The sequence below is a fragment of the Homo sapiens genome, chromosome 10 (genome assembly GCF_000001405.40).
Source record: "Homo sapiens chromosome 10, GRCh38.p14 Primary Assembly".
Lineage (NCBI taxonomy): Eukaryota > Metazoa > Chordata > Mammalia > Primates > Hominidae > Homo > Homo sapiens.
Genome location: NC_000010.11, coordinates 15,111,301 through 15,130,866, shown reverse-complemented (window position 1 = coordinate 15,130,866; position 19,566 = coordinate 15,111,301). Strand labels below are relative to the sequence as shown.

At 41.2% G+C, this 19,566-nt stretch overlaps 1 protein-coding gene and 1 long non-coding RNA gene across 9 annotated transcripts in view, besides 2 other annotated features; one reads left to right on the top strand and one right to left on the bottom strand.

Annotated features, from left to right (window-relative positions):
• Positions 1–19,566, top strand: part of NMT2 (N-myristoyltransferase 2) — a 62,994-nt gene that overhangs the window by 37,827 nt on the left and 5,601 nt on the right. For 5 of the 8 annotated variants that reach the window (XM_005252642.6, XM_017016949.3, NM_004808.3 and 2 more), the window contains 4 exons: positions 555–725; positions 2,409–2,517; positions 11,354–11,524; positions 17,904–18,071. In XM_005252642.6, the coding sequence (XP_005252699.1) occupies positions 555–725; positions 2,409–2,517; positions 11,354–11,524; positions 17,904–18,071 (619 nt within the window). The remainder of the gene's footprint in view (positions 1–554; positions 726–2,408; positions 2,518–11,353; positions 11,525–17,903; positions 18,072–19,566) is intronic. The other 3 variants (XM_047426019.1, XM_006717539.5, XM_017016951.3) reach the window with 1 other exon arrangement.
• Positions 6,766–6,905: an enhancer, noted in NCBI's record as "active region_3093". NCBI's record gives its function as "activates an Ori minimal core promoter by ATAC-STARR-seq in GM12878 lymphoblastoid cells {active_cell/tissue: GM12878}" and the evidence as "EXISTENCE:reporter gene assay evidence [ECO:0000049][PMID:35858748]".
• Positions 7,812–7,991: an enhancer, noted in NCBI's record as "active region_3092". NCBI's record gives its function as "activates an Ori minimal core promoter by ATAC-STARR-seq in GM12878 lymphoblastoid cells {active_cell/tissue: GM12878}" and the evidence as "EXISTENCE:reporter gene assay evidence [ECO:0000049][PMID:35858748]".
• On the bottom strand, positions 11,298–19,339 carry LOC105376431 (uncharacterized). Its single transcript, XR_930693.4, has 2 exons — positions 19,081–19,339; positions 11,298–11,644 (listed from the first exon to the last, which is right to left on the bottom strand). It is a non-coding gene; the product is annotated as an uncharacterized LOC105376431 (long non-coding RNA).

The window sequence follows — 19,566 nt, the reverse complement described above, 5'->3', positions numbered from 1 at the left end:
AGTGAGCCAAGATTGCGCCATTGCACTCCAGCCTGGGTGACAGTGCGACAATCTGTCTCAAAAAAAAAAAAAAAAAAAAAGAAAGAAAGAAGAAAATAGAATGGCCTTTATGTTCTTTTTTTTCTTTTTCTTTCTTTTCTTTTTTTTTTTTTTTTTTTTTTTTGAGACAGGGCCTTGCTCTGTTGTCCAGGCTGGAGGGCAGTGATGCAATCATGGCTCACTGCACCCTCTGCCTCTCAGGCTCAAGTGATCCTTCCACCTCAGCCTCCCAAGTAGCTGGGACCACATGCATGCGGCAACATGACTGGCTGGTGTTTGTTTTTTGTAGAGATGAGAGTCTCAGTGTTGCCCAGGCTGGTCTGGAACTCCTGGTCTCAAGCAATCCACCTGCCTTGGCCTCCCAAAGTGCTGAGATTACAGGCGACAGCCAGTGTTCCCAGCCTGCATTCTTATTCTTGGATATTTCCTGGGTATCATCTTATTTTTTAAAATGTGTTGACTCTTCATTTTGAATCTCGTTTTGACTCTTAATCTTCACCATCTTTATTTCTTAGTGTGAAGAAGATGGTAGAAATCAACTTTCTTTGTGTTCATAAGAAGTTGAGATCGAAACGGGTAGCCCCAGTGCTAATCCGAGAGATCACTAGAAGAGTGAACCTGGAAGGGATCTTCCAGGCTGTGTACACCGCGGGAGTGGTTCTTCCTAAGCCCATAGCCACATGCAGGTACCAGTACCATATTTCTACCTCAGGTCCTCCCTTTATCAAAAATGTTGAGCCTCACCACTGTTCTGCTAGATGTAGTTTTTGCTGGTAGCAGAGATGGAGACTAGAACCTAGAATCACCAAGTCCAGTATTCTTTCTGGTATATCATTTGCCACTTGGTGATTAAAAAAAAGTTTTTGACATTTTCCTACTAATGATGCTGGATCTATACTTTTTTTTTTTTTTTTTTTTTTGAGGCAGACTCTTACTCTGTTGCCCAGGCTGGAATGCAGTGGCGTGATATTGGCTCACCGCAAACTCGCCTCCTGGGTTCAAGTGATTCTCCTGCCTCAGCTTCCCGAGTAGCTGGGATTACAGGCATGTGCCACCACACACAGCTAATTTTTGTATTTTTAGTAGAGACAGGGTTTCACCATGTTGGTCAGGCTGGTCTTGAACTCCTGACCTCGTGTGGATCTATACTTCTAAGTCTATTCCATGTGAAAGATGAATGCTGTCTCTACATGGGAAAACCTAGGACATGATGATCTTAAAATTCCAATGTCATACCATTTTCTTTCCACCCCAAAGATCAGTTTTCTGCCATGCTTTGCAGCACCACCAAAGTGTCCTGAAAGTCTAATAAGCATCCATTCAAAAGCCTCAGATGTATTTGTTTGTTCAGAGTAGGAAGACCTAAGCTATGTTTTTACAACTTCGTCTGCACTAGTCAAGCTTTCACAGGTTATTCCAGTGAGAAAATGATCAGATTCCCACAAGACTAACCTGTTTCTAAAACATCAGAGTTTATCTCCCCACCCCTCACCACTGTTTTTATTGACTCAAATAGGATGAAACTTAAAATTACTATATCCTGTTAAATTATTACATTCGTTAAGTAAATGGAATACTAGACTTCAGGGGTATATTTTAATATAAATCACTTATCCCAGAGCCTGGAATCACTGAAGAAATTTAAGCTAGTTTTCAAAAAGTTGTTTTCTTTGGTGTGTAGGCTGTAAAAGTGAAGGTGACTAATTTAGGGGATTTATTTTCATGTTTTTAAACTTTCTGATTGGCCTTTTGTAGAATCAGTGATGGTCCTTACACACTTGGAAACCTGGGTATGATTAATATTTCTTTTTTGTGTGTGTGTGAGACGGTCTTGCTCTGTTGCCCATGCTGGAGTGCAGTGGCATGATCTCGGCTTACTGCTGCAACCTCTGCCTCCCAGGTTCAAGTGATTCTCCTGCCTCAGCCTCCCGAGTAGCTGGGATTACAGGTGCACACCACCGTGCCTGGCTAATTTTTGTATTTTTAGTAGAGATGGGGTTTCACCATGTTGGCCAGGCTGGTCTTGAACTCCTGGCCTCAAGTGATCTGCCCACCTCAGCCTCCCAAAGTGCTGGGATTACAGGCATGAGCCACCGTGCCCAGCCAACTAATATTTCCTTTGCAGTTTTAAGATTCCACTTTAGTGAAAAAGATGAAAGGTCACAAACTCCTGAGGAACATAACTGGAGTATAAGATGTATTTTAGAGATTAAAACTGGACGGATAAAATGATGACATAGGATGAGGGCCTCTGTCTAGTACAACGTAAGTATTCAGTAAATGCTTATGTAACAGCCAAGCTGAGACAAAGAGTGAAAACTTGTAGAGTTAGAAATCAATTTGATTTTAAAACCTTTATTGTATTCCAGATACTGGCATCGATCACTAAACCCCAGAAAATTGGTAGAAGTGAAATTTTCTCACTTGAGTAGAAATATGACTTTACAGAGAACAATGAAGCTATACAGACTTCCAGATGTAAGTAAGAATGATTTGCAGTTTTTTGAAGCTGTAACAACTGACGCTTTTAATGCAGAAAAGAATTATTTGCAGGAGTCTAAAAACTGACTGGTGTGTCTGAGGAAGTGAATATGGAGCGAAAGAGATTTCATGGAACTCGGGAGCTAGGGAAGGTAGGGAGTTTGTTTGGAAATGCCAATCTTTCCTTTTTTCCCAAGGCTCTTAAAGTTGTTTCATTGGTAGTTGGATAAGACTGAACTCAAGGCAAGTAAGTTTTGAAATTTGGGAAATTTATGGTCTGTTAAGTAAGAAGGAAGAAAAGTCCAGGCTGCTGATCTCTTAATGCGTTGGAACTCAGGAATCAAGTGTAGAGGAGAGACCCAGCGAGTGGAAATAATGTCTCATTAAATTATCATCTTCTTAAACTATCTCGTTCTCAATGTGAAAAGTTGTCATTTTTTTTTTTTTTGGAGACAGTCTTGCTCTGTTGCCCCTTCAGCGCAATGGCACAATCTCAGCTCACTGCAACCTCTGCCTCCCGGGTTCAAGCGATTCTCCCACCTCAGCCTCCCAAGTAGCTGGGACTACAGGCACCCGCCACCACACCCGGCTAATTTTTGCATTTTTAATAGAGATGGGGTTTCACCATGTTGGCCAGGCTGGCCTCAGACTCCTGACCTCAAGTGAACCGCCTGCTTCAGCCTCCCAAGGTGCTGGGATTACAGGCATGAGCCACTGCACCCAGCGAAAAGTTATTTATTTATTTTATTTTATTTATTTATTTATTTATTTATTTATTTTTTTTTTTTTTTTTTTTTTTTGAGACGGAGTCTCACTCTGTCGCCCAGGCTGGAGTGCAGTGGCGGGATCTCGGCTCACTGCAAGCTCCACCTCCTGGGTTCACGCCATTCTCCTGCCTCAGCCTCCTGAGTAGCTGGGACTATAGGCGCCCGCCAGCATGCCCGGCTAATTTTTTGTATTTTTAGTAGAGACGGGGTTTCACCATGTTAGCCAGGATAGTCTTGATCTCCTGACCTTGTGATCCGCCTGCCTCGGCCTCCCATAATGCTGGGATTACAGGAGTGAGCCACCACGCCTGGCGAAAAGTTATTTTTTTTATTTTTTTATTTTTTGAGACAGAGTCTCGCTCTGTTACCCAGGCTGGAGTGCAGTGGCTGGATGTTGGCTCACTGCAACCTCCGCCTCCCGGGTTCAAACAGTTCTCCTGCCTCAGCCTCCCAAATAGCTGGAATTACAGGTGTGTGCCACCACACCCAACTGATTTTTGTATTTTTAGTAGAGATGGCGGGGGTTTCACCATGTTGGCCAGGCTGGTCTTGAACTCCTGACCTTGTGATCCGCCTGCCTTGGCCTCCCAAAGTCCTGGGATTACAGGTGTGAGCCACCACGCCCAGCCAAGTTATCATTTTTAATAGGGAAAAATATAAATGTGCTTTCTAGACTTGGCTTTATTTGGGGCTTGGCTATATTAGTTATCTATGGCCATGTAAAAAATGACCACAAACTGAGCTGCTTAAAACAACATTTATTATCACACAGCTTCTGTGGGCCAGAAATCCAGTCACAGCTTAGCTGAGTCCTGTGCTTTGTTCAGGGTCTCTCCTGAAGTTGCCACCCAGGTGTCAGCCAGGGCTGAGGTCTCATCTGAAACTTGACTAGGGAAGGATCCATTTCCATGCTCCTGTAGTTGTTGGCAGGATTGAGTTCCTCACTGGCTGTTGGACCAAGGGCCTCAGTTCTTTGCCATGTTGGATTCTCCATAGGGTAGCTCACAGCATGGCAGCTTATTCATCAAAGCCAGTGAGAGAGAGAGTCTATAGAGAGGATCTGCTGGCAAGATGGAAGTCAGAACCCTATGCAGGTGATTCATGAAAGTGACATCCAGTCGCCATTGCCATTTCTTTTTTTTTTTTTTTTTAAGATGGAGGCTCGCTCTGTTGTCCAGGCTGGAGTGCAATGGCACAATCTCAGCTCATTGCAATCTCCGCCTCCTGAGTTCAAGCAATTCTCCTGCCTCAGCCTCCCAAGTAGCTGGGATTACAGGTGTGCACCACCACGCCCAGCTAATTTTTGTATTTTTAGTAGAGATGGGGTTTCACCATATTAGTCAGGCTGGTCTCGAACTCCTGACCTCAGGTGATCCACCCGCCTCAGCCTCCCAAAGTGCTGGGATTACAGGTGTGAGCCACTGCGCCCAGCCGCCATTGCCATTTCTATTGGTTAGAACCAAATCACAGGTCCTGCCCACACGTAACAGGAGCAGATCACACCAGCTGTGAACCCCAGGAGGTGGGATCACTGGGGGCCATCTTAGAATCTGTGTGCCACTGATGGGATCTTTTGTTTGAAGTGTTGTGACGTGTGAATTGAAATAAAATCTTCGGCCAGGCGCGGTGGCTCACACCTGTAATCCCAGCACTTTGGGAGGCCAAGGCGGGCAGATCACAAGGTCAAGAGATCGAGGCCACCCTGGCCAACATGGTGAAACCCCATCTCTACTAAAAATTAAAAAATTAGCTGTGGATGGTGGCACATGGCTGTAGTCCCAGCTACTAGGGAGGCTGAGGCAGGAGAATCGCTTGAACCTAGGAGGCACAGGTTGCAGTGAGCTGAGATCACGCCATTGCACTCCAGCCTGGCCACAGAGCGAGACTCCATCTCATAAATAACTAAATAAATAACTAAATACATACGTACATACATACATACATACATACAAACTTCAAAAATGCCTCTTTTTTTCACTATGGGCAAATGCTGTTCCACTTTGGTCTCTCCAAATTTCAGTTTCTTGAACCTCAAGCAGCCTAGCTTATGTACAAGGAAAAGACACACTTACATGTAGGTTGCCTACAATGGAGTGAAGAATAAGGAGTTTTAGCACATACCATTGGTTTACTCACAATGATTTTCTTAAAGTGCTAAAGCTATTTTTGACTTGACTCCATTCATCAGCCTTAATATTTTTGTACAAGAGTCAATCTTCTCCTGGGTATAGGCGTGTATTATGAAACCAGACTGTGGCATCTTACTTCCAGTGAACCTGGGTTCCTGGTAGCAGTCCTGTTCCAGTCGTGCTGTGATAGTGACTGCCTTTCCCCCACCCATAAATTGAAGGTTATGAAGTGCTTTCAAATACATTATTCAATTTATTCTCACAGCAACCTTTTGAAGTTAGTACTTCTTATCCCCATTTTACAGATGAAGAAACTGAGGTATGTGACAGTTGGCACTTAGGCGAGGATGTGTTAATATCACCAAGTGGAGGGCTTGGGATGCAGGCCCCAGACCTCCATGTTTCCCTGTTAGCTCCCTCTGCCTCTGCCATCCCCTCTAACATTACCCACTATGGGGACACCATGGCTCAGCCCCACTGAATGTCTCACTGTGAGTACAGCATAAATCAAGGCAGAAAAGGACGATTGTCAAGATGCAAACAGTTCTCATTGGCTTGCCCCAGTCTCCTTTCCCCCTTTTAAGTCATAGGAAAGGAAAGGAAAATAAAGAGTAAATTAATAGAATAAAAGAGAGATTAAAGTACAGATATTATGAAATTGGAAGGTGCTGGCAGCAGTCCCTTGGGTGTCTGCCTCTTGAGTTAAACTGGACAGAACTGCATACACCGGATGCCCCTTCCTCTCCTATGGGCCCAGATGGGTGATACCACTGCTAGCAGTCAAGTTATTTAAGAACATTTTTGTACCATTCAGCGTAAAAGCAAACTTATGGAATACAGCTTTTGCTGTATAGATCAATCTCATTTTCTGCTTCATTGTTACTCTTTTTGCTTGTAGGAGTGCCAGCTTTCTGTCTTTTTCATGGACTTTTGAATATAGGAGCTAACATTTATTGTGGCCGGCGTTATGCTCGACATTTAACAGCCGTAGTCTCATTTACTAATCACAACAGCCACAGGAGGATGGGTCCTTATCCCCATAGCACAGAAGGGGCCATGAGAACACAGATTGACTTGCTCAGAGTCTGCTGGCCAGAAGCAGAGCTGTCGCAGGGCCTGCGCCATTCACAACTGTTACCTAAAATACTAAGGTTTCCCCAAGAAACACGCCTTACGATGCCTCCCTACCCTTTCAGTGTTTGGGGAGATTTTATTTTGTTTTGTTTTTTTGATCTGGTGTTGAGTATTTCCAAGTTCGATTTTGCGCATCTGTGTCAATGAGCTGAAAGGTAATTTGATGTTGATAAAAAGCAGAAGTCAGAGAATGATCCACTAAGGTCTTAGCACTGTGCTGCAAGGAGGGTGTGCTTGCTTAGACATGTCGAGGCATATAAGGTGTTCTATATTTAGTGGCATTAGATGGTTTTTTTAGTGGTTAGCATTCTGTTTGCTCCTTTTTGAATCATATAAATAACCATAATCATTGCTTACATCTCTTCTCTGGAATCTTGGCTCTCAAACGGTTTGTACCACAACTTGACAGATAACAACACTACTGTTTTTTAATAGAGCTCTGAGCTTCATTTCCTTATGTACTTATAAGCAGATTTTACACAGATTTCAATCTACGTAGAGGCCCATGAATCATGCATATTAGTTGGGCCATGGGAAAGGATATCTGATTCAGATACAGAGTTTGCTTATGAAACTGAGATTTTTCTTATTTACTGGAAATGATTCTCTGCATTTTATTGAACTCTCAGAAAACATGACCGCTTCACTATTCCATTATACGGAAGCTAGCCATTTTAATGTAAGCCCAATAGCCTTCCTGGTTCTTTCTGAGGACAATAGTTATAATTTGAGTGTTTGTTTTGCTTTTCAAAAGTTATTTCTTTTTTTTTTTTTTTTTTTTTTTTCTGTGAGACGAAGTCTCGCTTTGTCGCCAGGCTGGAGTGCAGTGATGCGATCTTGGCTCACTGCAACCCCCGCCTCCTGGATGCAAGCAATTCTCCTGCCTCAGCCTCCTGAGTAGCTGGGACTACAGCCACGTGCCACCACACCCAGCTAATTTTTGTATTTTAGTCCATGTTGGCCAGGATGGTCTCGATCTCTTGACCTTGTGATCCGCCTGCCTCAGCCTCCCAAAGTGCTGAGATTACAGGTGTGAGCCACCGTGCCTGGCAGTATTTCATTCTTACACAGATTATTTTAGCTATTAGTCAGCAAATGTAAATATTCTTACCCTGTTTTCTAGGACTTTCTGTTTTTTATAGCTGGTACATCCTGGTGTGCTCTTATGCTTTAATGCTTCTATAAAAATTTGTTCAAAATGCTTATAAGTTGCCAAACTTATGATACTTTTTACCTGAATTTAGGCAACATATTGCTTGTCTAAATTCTGCTACTTATTTTTCTAACCTTTAGAGACCTAAGATAGCAGTTCTCAAAGTGTGGCCCAGGGACCTCTGGAAGTCCCCCAAGATCTTTGAATCTATGCAGTCATTTTTTTTTTTTAACTATTTTCATAATAACACTAGTATGTAATTTTTTCACTTTCATTCTCGTCTGAGTATACTGTGAAGTCTTCCAGAGGCCATGTGGCATGTGTATTTCTGTAGTCTTTTGTTTAAAAATGTTCTCAGTTTTGATTTCTAATGCGATAAGTGTGGATATGCATAACCCACATAAGCAAAGCTCTTTGGAGGTACTCAATCATTATTAACAGCGTAGGCCAGGTGCAGTGGCCCATGCCTGTAATCCCAGCACTTTGGGAGACCGAGGTGGGCAGATCACAAGGTCAGGAGATCGAGACCATCCTGGCTAGTACGATAAAACTGCATCTCTACTAAAAATACAAAAAATTAGCTGGGCGTGGTGGCACGTGCTTGTAATCCTAGCTACTTGGGAAGCTGAGGCAGGATCAAATCACTTGAACCCGGGAAGCAGAGGTTGCAGTGAGCTGAGATCACACCACTGCACTCCAGCCTGGGCGACAGAGTAAGACTCCATCTCAAAAAAAAAAAAGAGTGTAAAAGGGTCCCAAGACCAAAATATTTGAGAACTGCTGCTTTAAGGCGATCTGCTGGGCAGTTCCTTTAGTGGTTTCACAGTTGGATATTCAATGAATGAGAATTGTGCTCCAGAAGAATGTTTTGCTCTAGAAGGAAGTTGGCAAATTTTTTTTTCATTTCTGAATGTTCTCTATTAACAGATATCATATATCCTGTGGCTTTCATTAATTCATCTAATTGCTTGATATTGTTGATTGTTACTGAACCAGTAACAAAAGAAAAAAAATTCTGATATTGAGAAAGGCTATTTGAAATTTATCAAGCTAAGTCTGCCTCATAGCAGAAACTAATTTTTTAAATGACTATGATATATATTTTATATGGTTTTGGTCTTCCCACTAGCATTTAGAAGTGCTTATTTATTTCCAGTGGAGATCTGGACATTTCTGACTCATTGGTTTTGAGAGGTACTAAAAGACTAAAGGTATGCATTGCCTGTTAAATGTGAAGGACTTAAATTCTCTAAATTTAGATTATTAAATGGCATTTTAGCTGAAGTGCTTTAGACATGACATCATCATAATAGAATGGCTTATAGTAAATATTCAGCTGAGGACTGTTGGTGTATAAATACAGAGCATGCACCTCCCATTCCCCTTTCCCCCAGCTAATCGATAATCAATCAGCACTGTGTGTCACTGAAGCTTAGAAACCCCAGCACAGCTAATAGTTGATGACAGCTGGCACTCAAGAGAAAACCTATTTTCCTTGGCCTAGTGTGGTGGCTCACACCTGTAATCCCAGCACTTTGGGAGGCCGAGGTGGGCAGATCACCTGAGGTCAGGCATTCGAGACCAGCCTGGCCAACGTGGTGAAACCCTGTCTCTACTAAAAACACAAAATTAGCCGGGCGTGGTGGCAGGTGCCTGTAATCCCAGTTACTCGGGAGCCTGAGGCAAGAGAATCGATTGAACCCAGGAGGCAGACGTTGCAGTGAACCGAGATCGCACCATTGCACTCCAGCCTGGGTGACAAGAGTGAGACTCCGTCTCAAAAAAAACACCTGTTTTCCCCCTTGGGCTTCCACCTGGGGGCATGCAGGAATTGTGATGACCTCATTCTACAGGAAGTTTTTCCTTTAACAATATTTCTTAAGAGTGGAACTGCTAGATTATATAAAATTTTTAAAAATAATCATTTAGGGCAGAAAAAGTAGAGTAGCAATATTTATATACAGATTATTCATCTCTTAAAATGTATCTAGTGTTTCTCCAAGGGGGGGAAAAATCAGGTTTACAGAAAAAAATAAACTGTATTTCTCAGTTTAAAATTGTCTGTTTGTTGGGCTTCCTGACTTTTAGTCTCAAGTCCCCTGGCCCCTGAACAGTTCTAGAGAGCAAAGTGATGTCAGGAGCTTTTACAAGGACAACAGCTGAACAAATTCAAATGGGGACCTGTCCTGACTTTTAGGTGTTTTATTCCTATGGCTTAATTTTTTAAATTCTAAAGCTCTGGAGTAGTGATAAGACACCTACCCTGATCACCTTTACCCAGAAGATGTGGCAGGAGAGGCCAGGCCGCGTCCCTGGCAGCCATTTGCCGTTAGACAAGATGGACACTTTCAGGCTGGTATGGCTGTAAACCCGTTTGCCTTTAGAAAATACTTGGCTATGAACAATGCTTGCCTTCCCATCCAGCCTGATATGATTCACTCCTATATCATTTTTGTTCAAGAGAACAAAATCACCACACGCTTTTAATGGGCTATTGCATAATAAAACAAGTTGCTCAGTTGTATTTTCAAAATGTCAGACTTGGCAGTTTTAAAGCATCCCTCAGAAACCATGAAGGATTGGTTCTAGGACCCCTCAGATACCAGAATCCTTGGGTGCTCAAGTCCCTTATATAAGATGGCGTAGCATTGTGTATTTGCATATAATGTATGCACATCCTCCTGTATACTTTATTTATTTATTTTTGAGACGAAGTCCCTCCCTGTCTCCCAGGCTTGAGTGCAGTGGCGTGATCATGGTTCACTGCAACCTTCGCCTCCCAGTTTCAAACGATTCTCCTGCCTCAGCCTCCCGAGTAGCTGGGATTACAGGTGCATGTCACCACGCCTGGCTAAGTTTTACATTTTTCGTAGAGACAGGGTTTCATCATGTTGGCCAGGCTGGTCTCGAACTTCTGACCTCAAATGATCCACCGGCATCAGCCTCCCAAAGTGCTGGGATTACAGGCATGAGCCACCATGCCCCCTGTCCTGTATACTTTAAATCATCTCTGGATTACTTATAAGGTCAAATACAATCTAAATGCTATGTAAGTAGTTGTTACACTGCATTTTTAAGAAATAATGACAAGAAAAAAAGTCCGTACATGATCAGCACAGATGCAACGATCCAGTTTTTTTTCCCCGAATATTTTTCGTCTAAGGTTGGTCGAACCCACAGATGCACAACCAGTGGATACGGAGGGCTGCCTGTACTCCAGAAGTCATGCTAAGTTGGCTATGTCCCATCATGTAGACTGTTAACATTCTTGGCATTGGTATATACATTGGTGTGTTTTGGGTATTGGCGTACATCATGAACTTGTACTGTTCCCTTTGATGTTTGTTTGGGTCATGGGCAGTAGTGACCAAAGACTTGCCGCACAGATAGGAAGATACAACACATTGTCTGTCTCGCCTATATTTTAACCCAGCTCTTCTCAAACCTTAATGTATGTACAAACCCAAGGAAATCTTGTTGAGTTGCAGATTCGGATTCATTAGATCTGGGGCAGGGCCAGGCTCTGCAGCTCTAACTAGCTCCCGCGTGCTGCTCATTCTGCTGGTCTGCAGACCACACTTTGAGTGCAAAGTCGTTTCACTCCTCTTCTACCTGAACTTCTGGATTTGTTTTGTTTCCCCTCCAACAAGGTTACAAAGACTTCAGGTTTGAGACCAATGGAACCAAAAGATATCAAATCAGTTCGAGAATTAATCAACACTTACCTGAAGCAGTTTCATCTGGCTCCAGTGATGGATGAAGAGGAAGTAGCCCACTGGTTCCTCCCCCGGGAGCACATTATTGACACGTTTGTAGTGGAGGTAAAGACAAGGTGATAAACATAAAGCTTCTCCTTGAAGCACCCTTTGTGTTCAGCGTGCAGCAGAATTATTTACACACACTTCCTTCTATTTCATCACAGAACATTACAAAGATGTGTACTAAAGGGTAGAGAGTTAATAAGATTAATAATTCTGAATACTCTATCAAGGACATGCTTAAGTGAAACTGCCATTTGTTGAACCATGAGGGTGTGGTGTTGAGGAATATGGTAACCATGAGTGTGGTCTGGTGCCATTGTCTTGTTTTGTGCTAAGGCACCAGCAGCTTTACCCACAGCACTGCTTTGCACCGTTGATGCTGATGGTAACTTGTCAACAAGGCAAACAACTTCTTAGTGTTATGAAAATCATTTTGACCTCACAGATTTCTGAAAGGGTCTCAGGTACCCACAGGGTTCACAGACCACATTTTGGGAACTGCTTTCCAGGGCATATCATTAGAGCTGCTGAGTCTGTGGTTGGACCCATCTTTCACATTTTTAGAAATTGCCAAATAGCTCACCACAATAAGGTCCTGAGCAGTGTAAGAGAGTTCCTGTTTCCTTGCATCCTCACAAGACGTGGGTATGGTCAGATTTTAAATTTATTTAGGCCCACCTGATGAGTATGGAACAGTATCTTGTTAATTTATATCCTCATTGTTGATGAATTTGAGTATCTCATCAATCTGTTAGCCATGTTTATTTCTTTTATAAACTTGCTATTTACATCACTTGCCTGTTTTTTTTTTTTGACCGTAGTTGTCTTACTGATTTATGAAAGGTTTTTTGTTTGTTTGTTTTGAGATGGAATTTTGCTCTTGTTGCCCAGGCTGGAGTGCAGTGGCACAATCTCGGCTCACTGCAAACTCCACCTCCCAGGTTCAAGCTATTCTCCTGCCTCCGCCTCCCGAGTAGCTGGGATTACAGGCGTGCGCCACCATGCCCGGCTAATTTTTGTATTTTTAGTAGAGTCGGGGTTTCACCATGTTGGTCAGGCTTGGTCTTGAACTCCTGACCTCAGGTGATTCACCTGCCTTGGCCTCCCAAAGTGCTGGAATTATAGGTGTGAGCCACTGTGCCCAGCCCGTGAAAGGTTTTTTATATGCTGAATACTAACACTTTGTATTGCGTTCCTTTCTGGGTCCTCTATATTCTATTTCGTTGATCTCCATGTCTGTCTTTTCACTAATACCACACTGACCTCGTTGCTATAGCGATATAGGAAGCCTTAGTATCAGGTAGAGTAATTCCTCCCACTTTATTCTTGTTTGTCAAGATCATTTTAATTAACCTATTTCCTTTGCCTTTTGCATATACATTTTAGAATAAGCTTATTTTTGCCTACAAAATACCTTGCTGGTAGTTTGATAGGGATTACATTACACTGATAGATTAATTTGAGGATAATTGAAAAGTCTTCCAGTCCATGAACATGGAATGTCTCTACATTTATTTCGGTCTTTTAAAATCTCTTTTATCAGCATTCTCTAAGAGCATCCAGATCCTGTACATGTTTTCTTAAGTGTATAGCTAGATATTTCACTTTCTTTGGGGCGATTATAATGGTGTTGTGTTTTTAATTTCAGTTTCTGCATGTTCATTGTTAGCCTGTAGAAATGCTTTCTTTTGTGTGTTTGTATCCTACCACAGTGCTGAAATCACTTACTGGTTCCAGGAGTTTGTGTGTAGATTCCTTGTGATTTCTACATAGACAATGTGTCATCTGCAAATAGGGACAGCTTTATTGCTTCCTTTCCAATCTCGATGCCTTTATTTATTGGTCTTGCATTAATGCAGGACCTAGATCTTCCAGTGCTTTGTTGAGAAAGAGTGGGGAAGGTTGTCATCCTCGTCGTGTTCTTGATGGTGGGAGAAAAGCATTTACTCTTTCACCATGAAGTATGATGTTAGCTGTAGGTTTTTCTGTGGGTGCTCCTAATCAATTTGAGGTCATTCTCCTCTATTTCTAACTTGCTGAGAGTTCTTATGAATGGGCATTGGATTTTTTCCAGTGCTGCTTCTGCTTCAATAGATGTAATCATATGATTTTTCTCCTTTAATCTGTTGATATGTTAGATTACATTGATTGGTTTTCAAATGTTGGGTCACTCTTACATTCCTAGAAAATATCCACTTGGTCAGGGTGTATAATTATTTTTATACATTGTTGTATTGATTGCTAATATTTTGCTGAGTATTTGTTGAGTTCATGAGAGATATCTCTCTGGAGTGCCTTTTTTGTAATGTCTGTCTGGTTTAGATATCAAGATAATACTGGTCTCATAATAGGAGTTGGGAAGTATTATTTCCTCTTCTATTTTCTAGAAGAAATTGAGAATTGGTGTTAATTCTTTAAATGTTTGTTAGAATTCTCCAGTTGAAATGATCTGAGCTTAGCTGTTTCTTTTTTGGGAGTTTTTAAATAATGGACTAAATGTCTTTAATGGTTATAGCACTATTCAGATGATCTGTTTCATCTTGGTTGAGTTTTAATAGTTTTTGAGGAGTTCATCCATTTCTTCTAAATTGTTGAATGTATGAGTGTAATTAATGTTCATTTTATTCCCTTGTTATCCTTTTAGTGGCTGTGGGATCTGTACTGATATCTCTTCTTTCATACCAGATATTGGTGATTCGTGTCTTCTCTTTCTTTGTTTTTGTCCATATTGGTAGACTTGTATCATTTTATTGATTTGTTTCCCAGAGAACCAGACTTTTGTTGGATATTCCCTGTTGTCTTCCTGTTTTCAGTGTCATTGATTTCTACCCTCGTGTTTATTGTTTCCTTCTGTCTGCTTGCTTTGGGTTTATTTTGCTCTTCTTTTCTAGTTCCTTGAGGGAAGAACTTACTGACTTGAGACCTTTCCCTGTTACTAGTAAGCATTTAGTTCTATCAGTTTCCCTCTCTGCACTGCTTTAGCTATTTCTGACGTATTTTGGTATGTTGTATCTTCGTTGTCATTCACGTCTATGTATTTTTTGGTTTCGTTTGAGGCTTCCTCTTTAGCCCACCCCTACTTAGAATTGTGCTGTTCAATTTTGCTGTGTTTAGAGATTTTCTGTTGTCTCCCTATTACAGATTTCTAGTTTGATTCAATTATGGTTAAAGAACACACACTGTATGGTTTTGATTATTTTAAGGCTCTTGAGGTTTGTTTTATTACTCGGGATATGGACTGTCTTGATGGATATTCCATGGGTGCATGAAACGTGTATACCACTACGGTTGTGTGGAGTGTTCTTTGTATGGCAATTGCATCATGTTGATTAATTGAGTTATTCAGCTCTTCTGTTTCCATGCTGATTTTCTGTCTAGCAGTTCTATCACTTGATGAGAGGGGCATGGAAGTCCCCAGCTGTAATTGTGGATTTGTCTATTTCTCCTTCCAACACTGTCAGTTTTTCTTGATTTCTTCTGGGCCTCTTGTTTGATACTCACATGTATATTAGGGTCTTTGTGTCTCCCTAGTGGATTGATCTTTTTATCATAATGTAATACCTCTCTTTCTAATAATTTTCCTTGCTCTGGAGTATACTTTATTGTATATTACTGTGACCAGACCTGCTTTTAAAAATTGTTTGGACTTTTTCCATCCTTTTACTTTCAAACTATTGATGTTATTGAATTTGAAGTGAGTTTCTTGGAAACAGCCTATAGCTGGGTCATGTTTCTTTACCCACACTACTGATGTTTCTTTTGATTGGTGTATTTAGACCACTTACATAAAAGGTGATTATTGGTATGGTAGAGCTTAAGTCTACCATTTGATTATTTGGTTTCTTTATGTTTCTTCTGGTTCTTGTTCCTCTGTTTCTTTTTTCTTGCCTTGCTGTGGATTACTTGAATATATTTTAGGATACTGTTTTATTTATAGTACCTTTGGGTGTATTTGTATAGTTTTTATGATGGTTGATGTGAGTATTACAATATATATATGTGACTTATAGTCGATTGGTAACAACATTTATTACTTTGAGTCACCTTACTTTTATTTAGGTCACTTTACCTTTTTCATTTTTAAATATTGTTGTCTTAAATATCAGACAGTATTATGATTTTTGTTTTAATCATCAAGTATGATTTGTAACACTGATTAATAATGATGCTTGAGGAGAAGCATAATTTATTATATGTAGCCCAAATTTCTACTCTATTATTCTTCCCTCCTTCCTGATGCTTCAAGATTCCTTCTTTTATTATTTCCTTTCTATTTGAAGAAATTCCTTTAGCCAGTCTCAGGGTATGTCTGCTAGTGACACATTCTTTTGGTTTCCATTTGTGTGAGACTACCTCTGTTTTTAGATTTAGTTTCCCAATTTTTTTTTTTAATTTTTTTTGGAGACAGTGTCTTGCTCTGTCACCCAGGCTGGAGTACAATGGTGCAATCTCTGCTCACTGCAACCTCCGCCTCTTGGGTTCAAGCAATTCTTGTGCTCAGCCTCCTGTGTAGCTGGAACTACAGGCGCATGCCACCACACCCTGCTAATGTTTTGTATTTTAGTAGAGACGGGGTTTCACCACGTTGGCCAGGCTGGTCTCGAACTTCTGAGCTCAGAAAATCCACCCACTTTGGCCTCCCCAAGTGCTGAGATTACAGGCATGAGCCACCATGCCCAGCCCTAGTTTGCTAATATTTTACTTAGGATCTTCTATACTCACTACTGAGGTTGGCCATTAATTTCCCCTTCTTACCCTGTCCTTGTCCTGTCTTGATACCAAAGTTAGAATGAGCTGAAGAGCTTGTCCTCTCTTTTCTCTGGAACAGTGTATGTAATAATAGGGATTACTTGTTCCTTGAAAGTTGTTAGAAGTTGCTTATAAGCCATCTAGACATGGTGCCATGGTGGGTTTTGTTGTGAGCGGGGTTTTTTTGTTTTGTTTTGTTTTGTTTTGTTTTTTATCAGTCTTTACAATTGATTGGGTGTGAGGGACAATGGAAAGATCATCCCACTCTTCCCCAACAGTTGGTGATTCTCTGGTCATTTTAACAGCAAGAGAGGAAACAGTAATTTTACCAGCAATATGAATGTGAAGAAGTAGTTTTCTGAAAGCAGATGATGAAAATGGGGTGGGGAACCTAATCAGGTTCTGCAGGTGCCTGCAGTAATTCAGCGTATGAGATGGATATGAGAAATTCTTAGAAGAATCTAAAATCCTTATTAAACCTGAAGGTTGAATTCATCTCCAATACTGAGCTGCTAATATAGAGCAGTAGGGAATCACTGTAGATTAACCCCTTTAGTTTCTTGCTGGCTGAAGAAAGGTCTAATGACTCGGAAGCCTTTGAAAACCAAAGCATACATCCTTCTGGAATTTCCTTTTCTGCTGAAAGAAATACTAGCAGTGGCATGTGTGTGGTCCAGCCTCTTCAGCCGCACGATTCAAACACATCATATTCTAAAAGTCAGCAAGGCCACCACAGCTAATTACAACAACCCGAACAATACTGGCTAATTTCTTGTATTGGAAGCTTTGCCAGTGATGATGAAATGAATGTCATCCATTGTATCCCTTATTTTTGATAGCTGCAAAATTCTCCAGTTGTTCACATGTGTATATTTTGGTGCAGTAGTAAGACCTTTCACAAGCTTGCGAACTCTTCCAAACAGCTTCCAGACTCTACCCAACCTTACTTAGGCCTGATATAATTCTTTCTGTGTGCTAAGACAGTGTGAGATAGTACACAGTATCTTTTAGTTGGAGAAGGCAGCCCTCTAATCCTTAAAGCTTTTATTTCTGCAAAAACAATGAATCTGCTTTTATCACTGTTCCCTTAGTCTAAAGAATTGACTCATTTGTCAGCCTGAGGGAAGCTTTCCTTTTAGGACATTCTGCTTCTATCTTTCTTTCTTTTTTTTTTTTTTTTTTTTTTTTTTGAGTCTCATCCTGTCGCCCAGGCTGGAGTGCAGTGACACAATCTTGGCTCACTGCAACCTCCGCCTCTGGGGTTCAAGCGATTCTCCAGCCTCAGCCTCCCAAGTAGCTGGGATTACAGGTGTGCGCCACCACACCTGGCTAAGTTTTCATATCTTTAGTAGAGATGGGGTTTCACCATGTTGGTCAGGCTGGTCTCGAACTCCTGACCTCATGATCCACACGCCTCATCCTCCCAAAGTGCTGGGATTACAGGCATGACATTCTGCTTCCTAAGAACTTTGTGCAAATCACCAATGGGCACTTAGGCTGAAGTCCCAACTCCAGGCCCTTCTTGGCCTCTACACAGCACAATATAAGGGGCCCCAAATTGGACTGCCGAGAAAGAAGTGTGACTTACTGCTTTTCGTTCTCTGGGGCAAGGGAGAGAACAGAGTTAGTGGAAATGCACGTATGCAGTTGGTTCAAGGAGATCTCTGTCTGACAGCACTTTTGCTCCTAGAGCCCCAACGGTAAACTGACTGATTTCCTGAGCTTCTATACGCTCCCCTCCACGGTGATGCACCACCCTGCTCACAAGAGCCTCAAAGCCGCCTACTCATTCTACAACATCCACACAGAGACGCCCCTGCTGGACCTCATGAGCGACGCGCTCATCCTGGCTAAATCGGTAAGCCACTCCTTCCTGTTCACGCCGTTTGGTTCTCCAAATGTCTGTGCCAAACTATAGAAGACATCTTACTGTGTTTTCTTCCACACAGGTGGAATTTATGCGAGACTTTAAAAAAACTATTGATCATCAGTCAAAGGAAGAATTTTGATAAGAGTTTCTTTTGAAACTTTAGAGGCTATTTTCATCATTAATTTTATGGCAGTTTAACAAAAAAGACAAAATGTACAAATTATAAATGTTTAATCCTTATATAAGAATATATAAGGCTGGGCATGGTGGCTCAGGCTTGTAATCCCAACACTTTGGGAGGCCGAGATGGGTGGATCACCTGAGGTTAGGAGTTTAAGACCAGCCTGGTTAATATGGTGAAACCTCGTCTCTACTAAAAATACAAAAGTTAGCCAGGCTTCGTGGTGTGTGCCTGTAATCCCAGCTACTCGGGAGGCTGAGGCAGGAGAATTGCTTGAACCTGGGAGGCAGAGGTTGCAATGGAGCTGAGATTGCACCACTGCACTCCAGCCTGGGTGACAGAAACTGTCTCAAAAAAAAAAAAAAAAAAAAAAAAAAAAAAAAAAATATATATATATATATATATATATATATATATATATATATATAAAGCCCATATCTTAGGAAGTAATATAAGGAAAATATTAATACATGAGTGAATATTTTTGTTGAGTGAATAACTAGCAGCAATTTTTTTATTCAACCAAATAGTCTCTGAATTTTAAAATTAAAGGAATGAAATTCAAAATTTAATTGTAGCCAGTCTACATGGTGAAACCCTGTCTCTACTAAAAATACAAAAATTAGCAGGGTGTGATAGCACACACCTGTAATCCCAGCTACTCGGGAGGCTGAGGCAAGAGGATTACTTGAACCTGGGAGTTGGCGGTTGCAGTGAGCCGAGATTGCACCATTGCATTCCAGCCTGGGCCACAGAGTGAGACCCTGTCTCAAATTAATTAATTAATTAAAATAAAATAAAATAAAAATCTCTTACCTGTGCCTTTGGATCCCCAAGTCAACATCATCCTCAGATTGTCTGCTTTTTTTCAACACTTCCCAAATATGGCCAGTAATTAGTTATTTAAGGTAAAAACCCTGAGAAATAAAAATAAAAAGTGCTTCTTCTATATCACATTTTGCATAGTATTATTGTCTGACATTTTAAAGAAATTTAATTTTTTACCATTAAAATTTTACATAAATATATTTCCCATTATCAGCCCAAAGCAAACATACTATTTTTTTATACTTTTTTTTTTTTTTTTTTTTTTGAGATGAGTCTTGCTGTGTTACCCAGGCTGGAGTGCAGTGGCACAGTCTCGGCTCACTGCAACCTCTGCTTCCCATGTTCAAGTGATTCTCTTGTCTCAGCCTCCAGAGTAGCTGGGACTATAGGTGTGTGCCACCACACCTGGCTAATTTTTGTATTTTTAGTAGAGACAGGGTTTCATCATATTGACCCGGCTGGTCTCGAACTCCT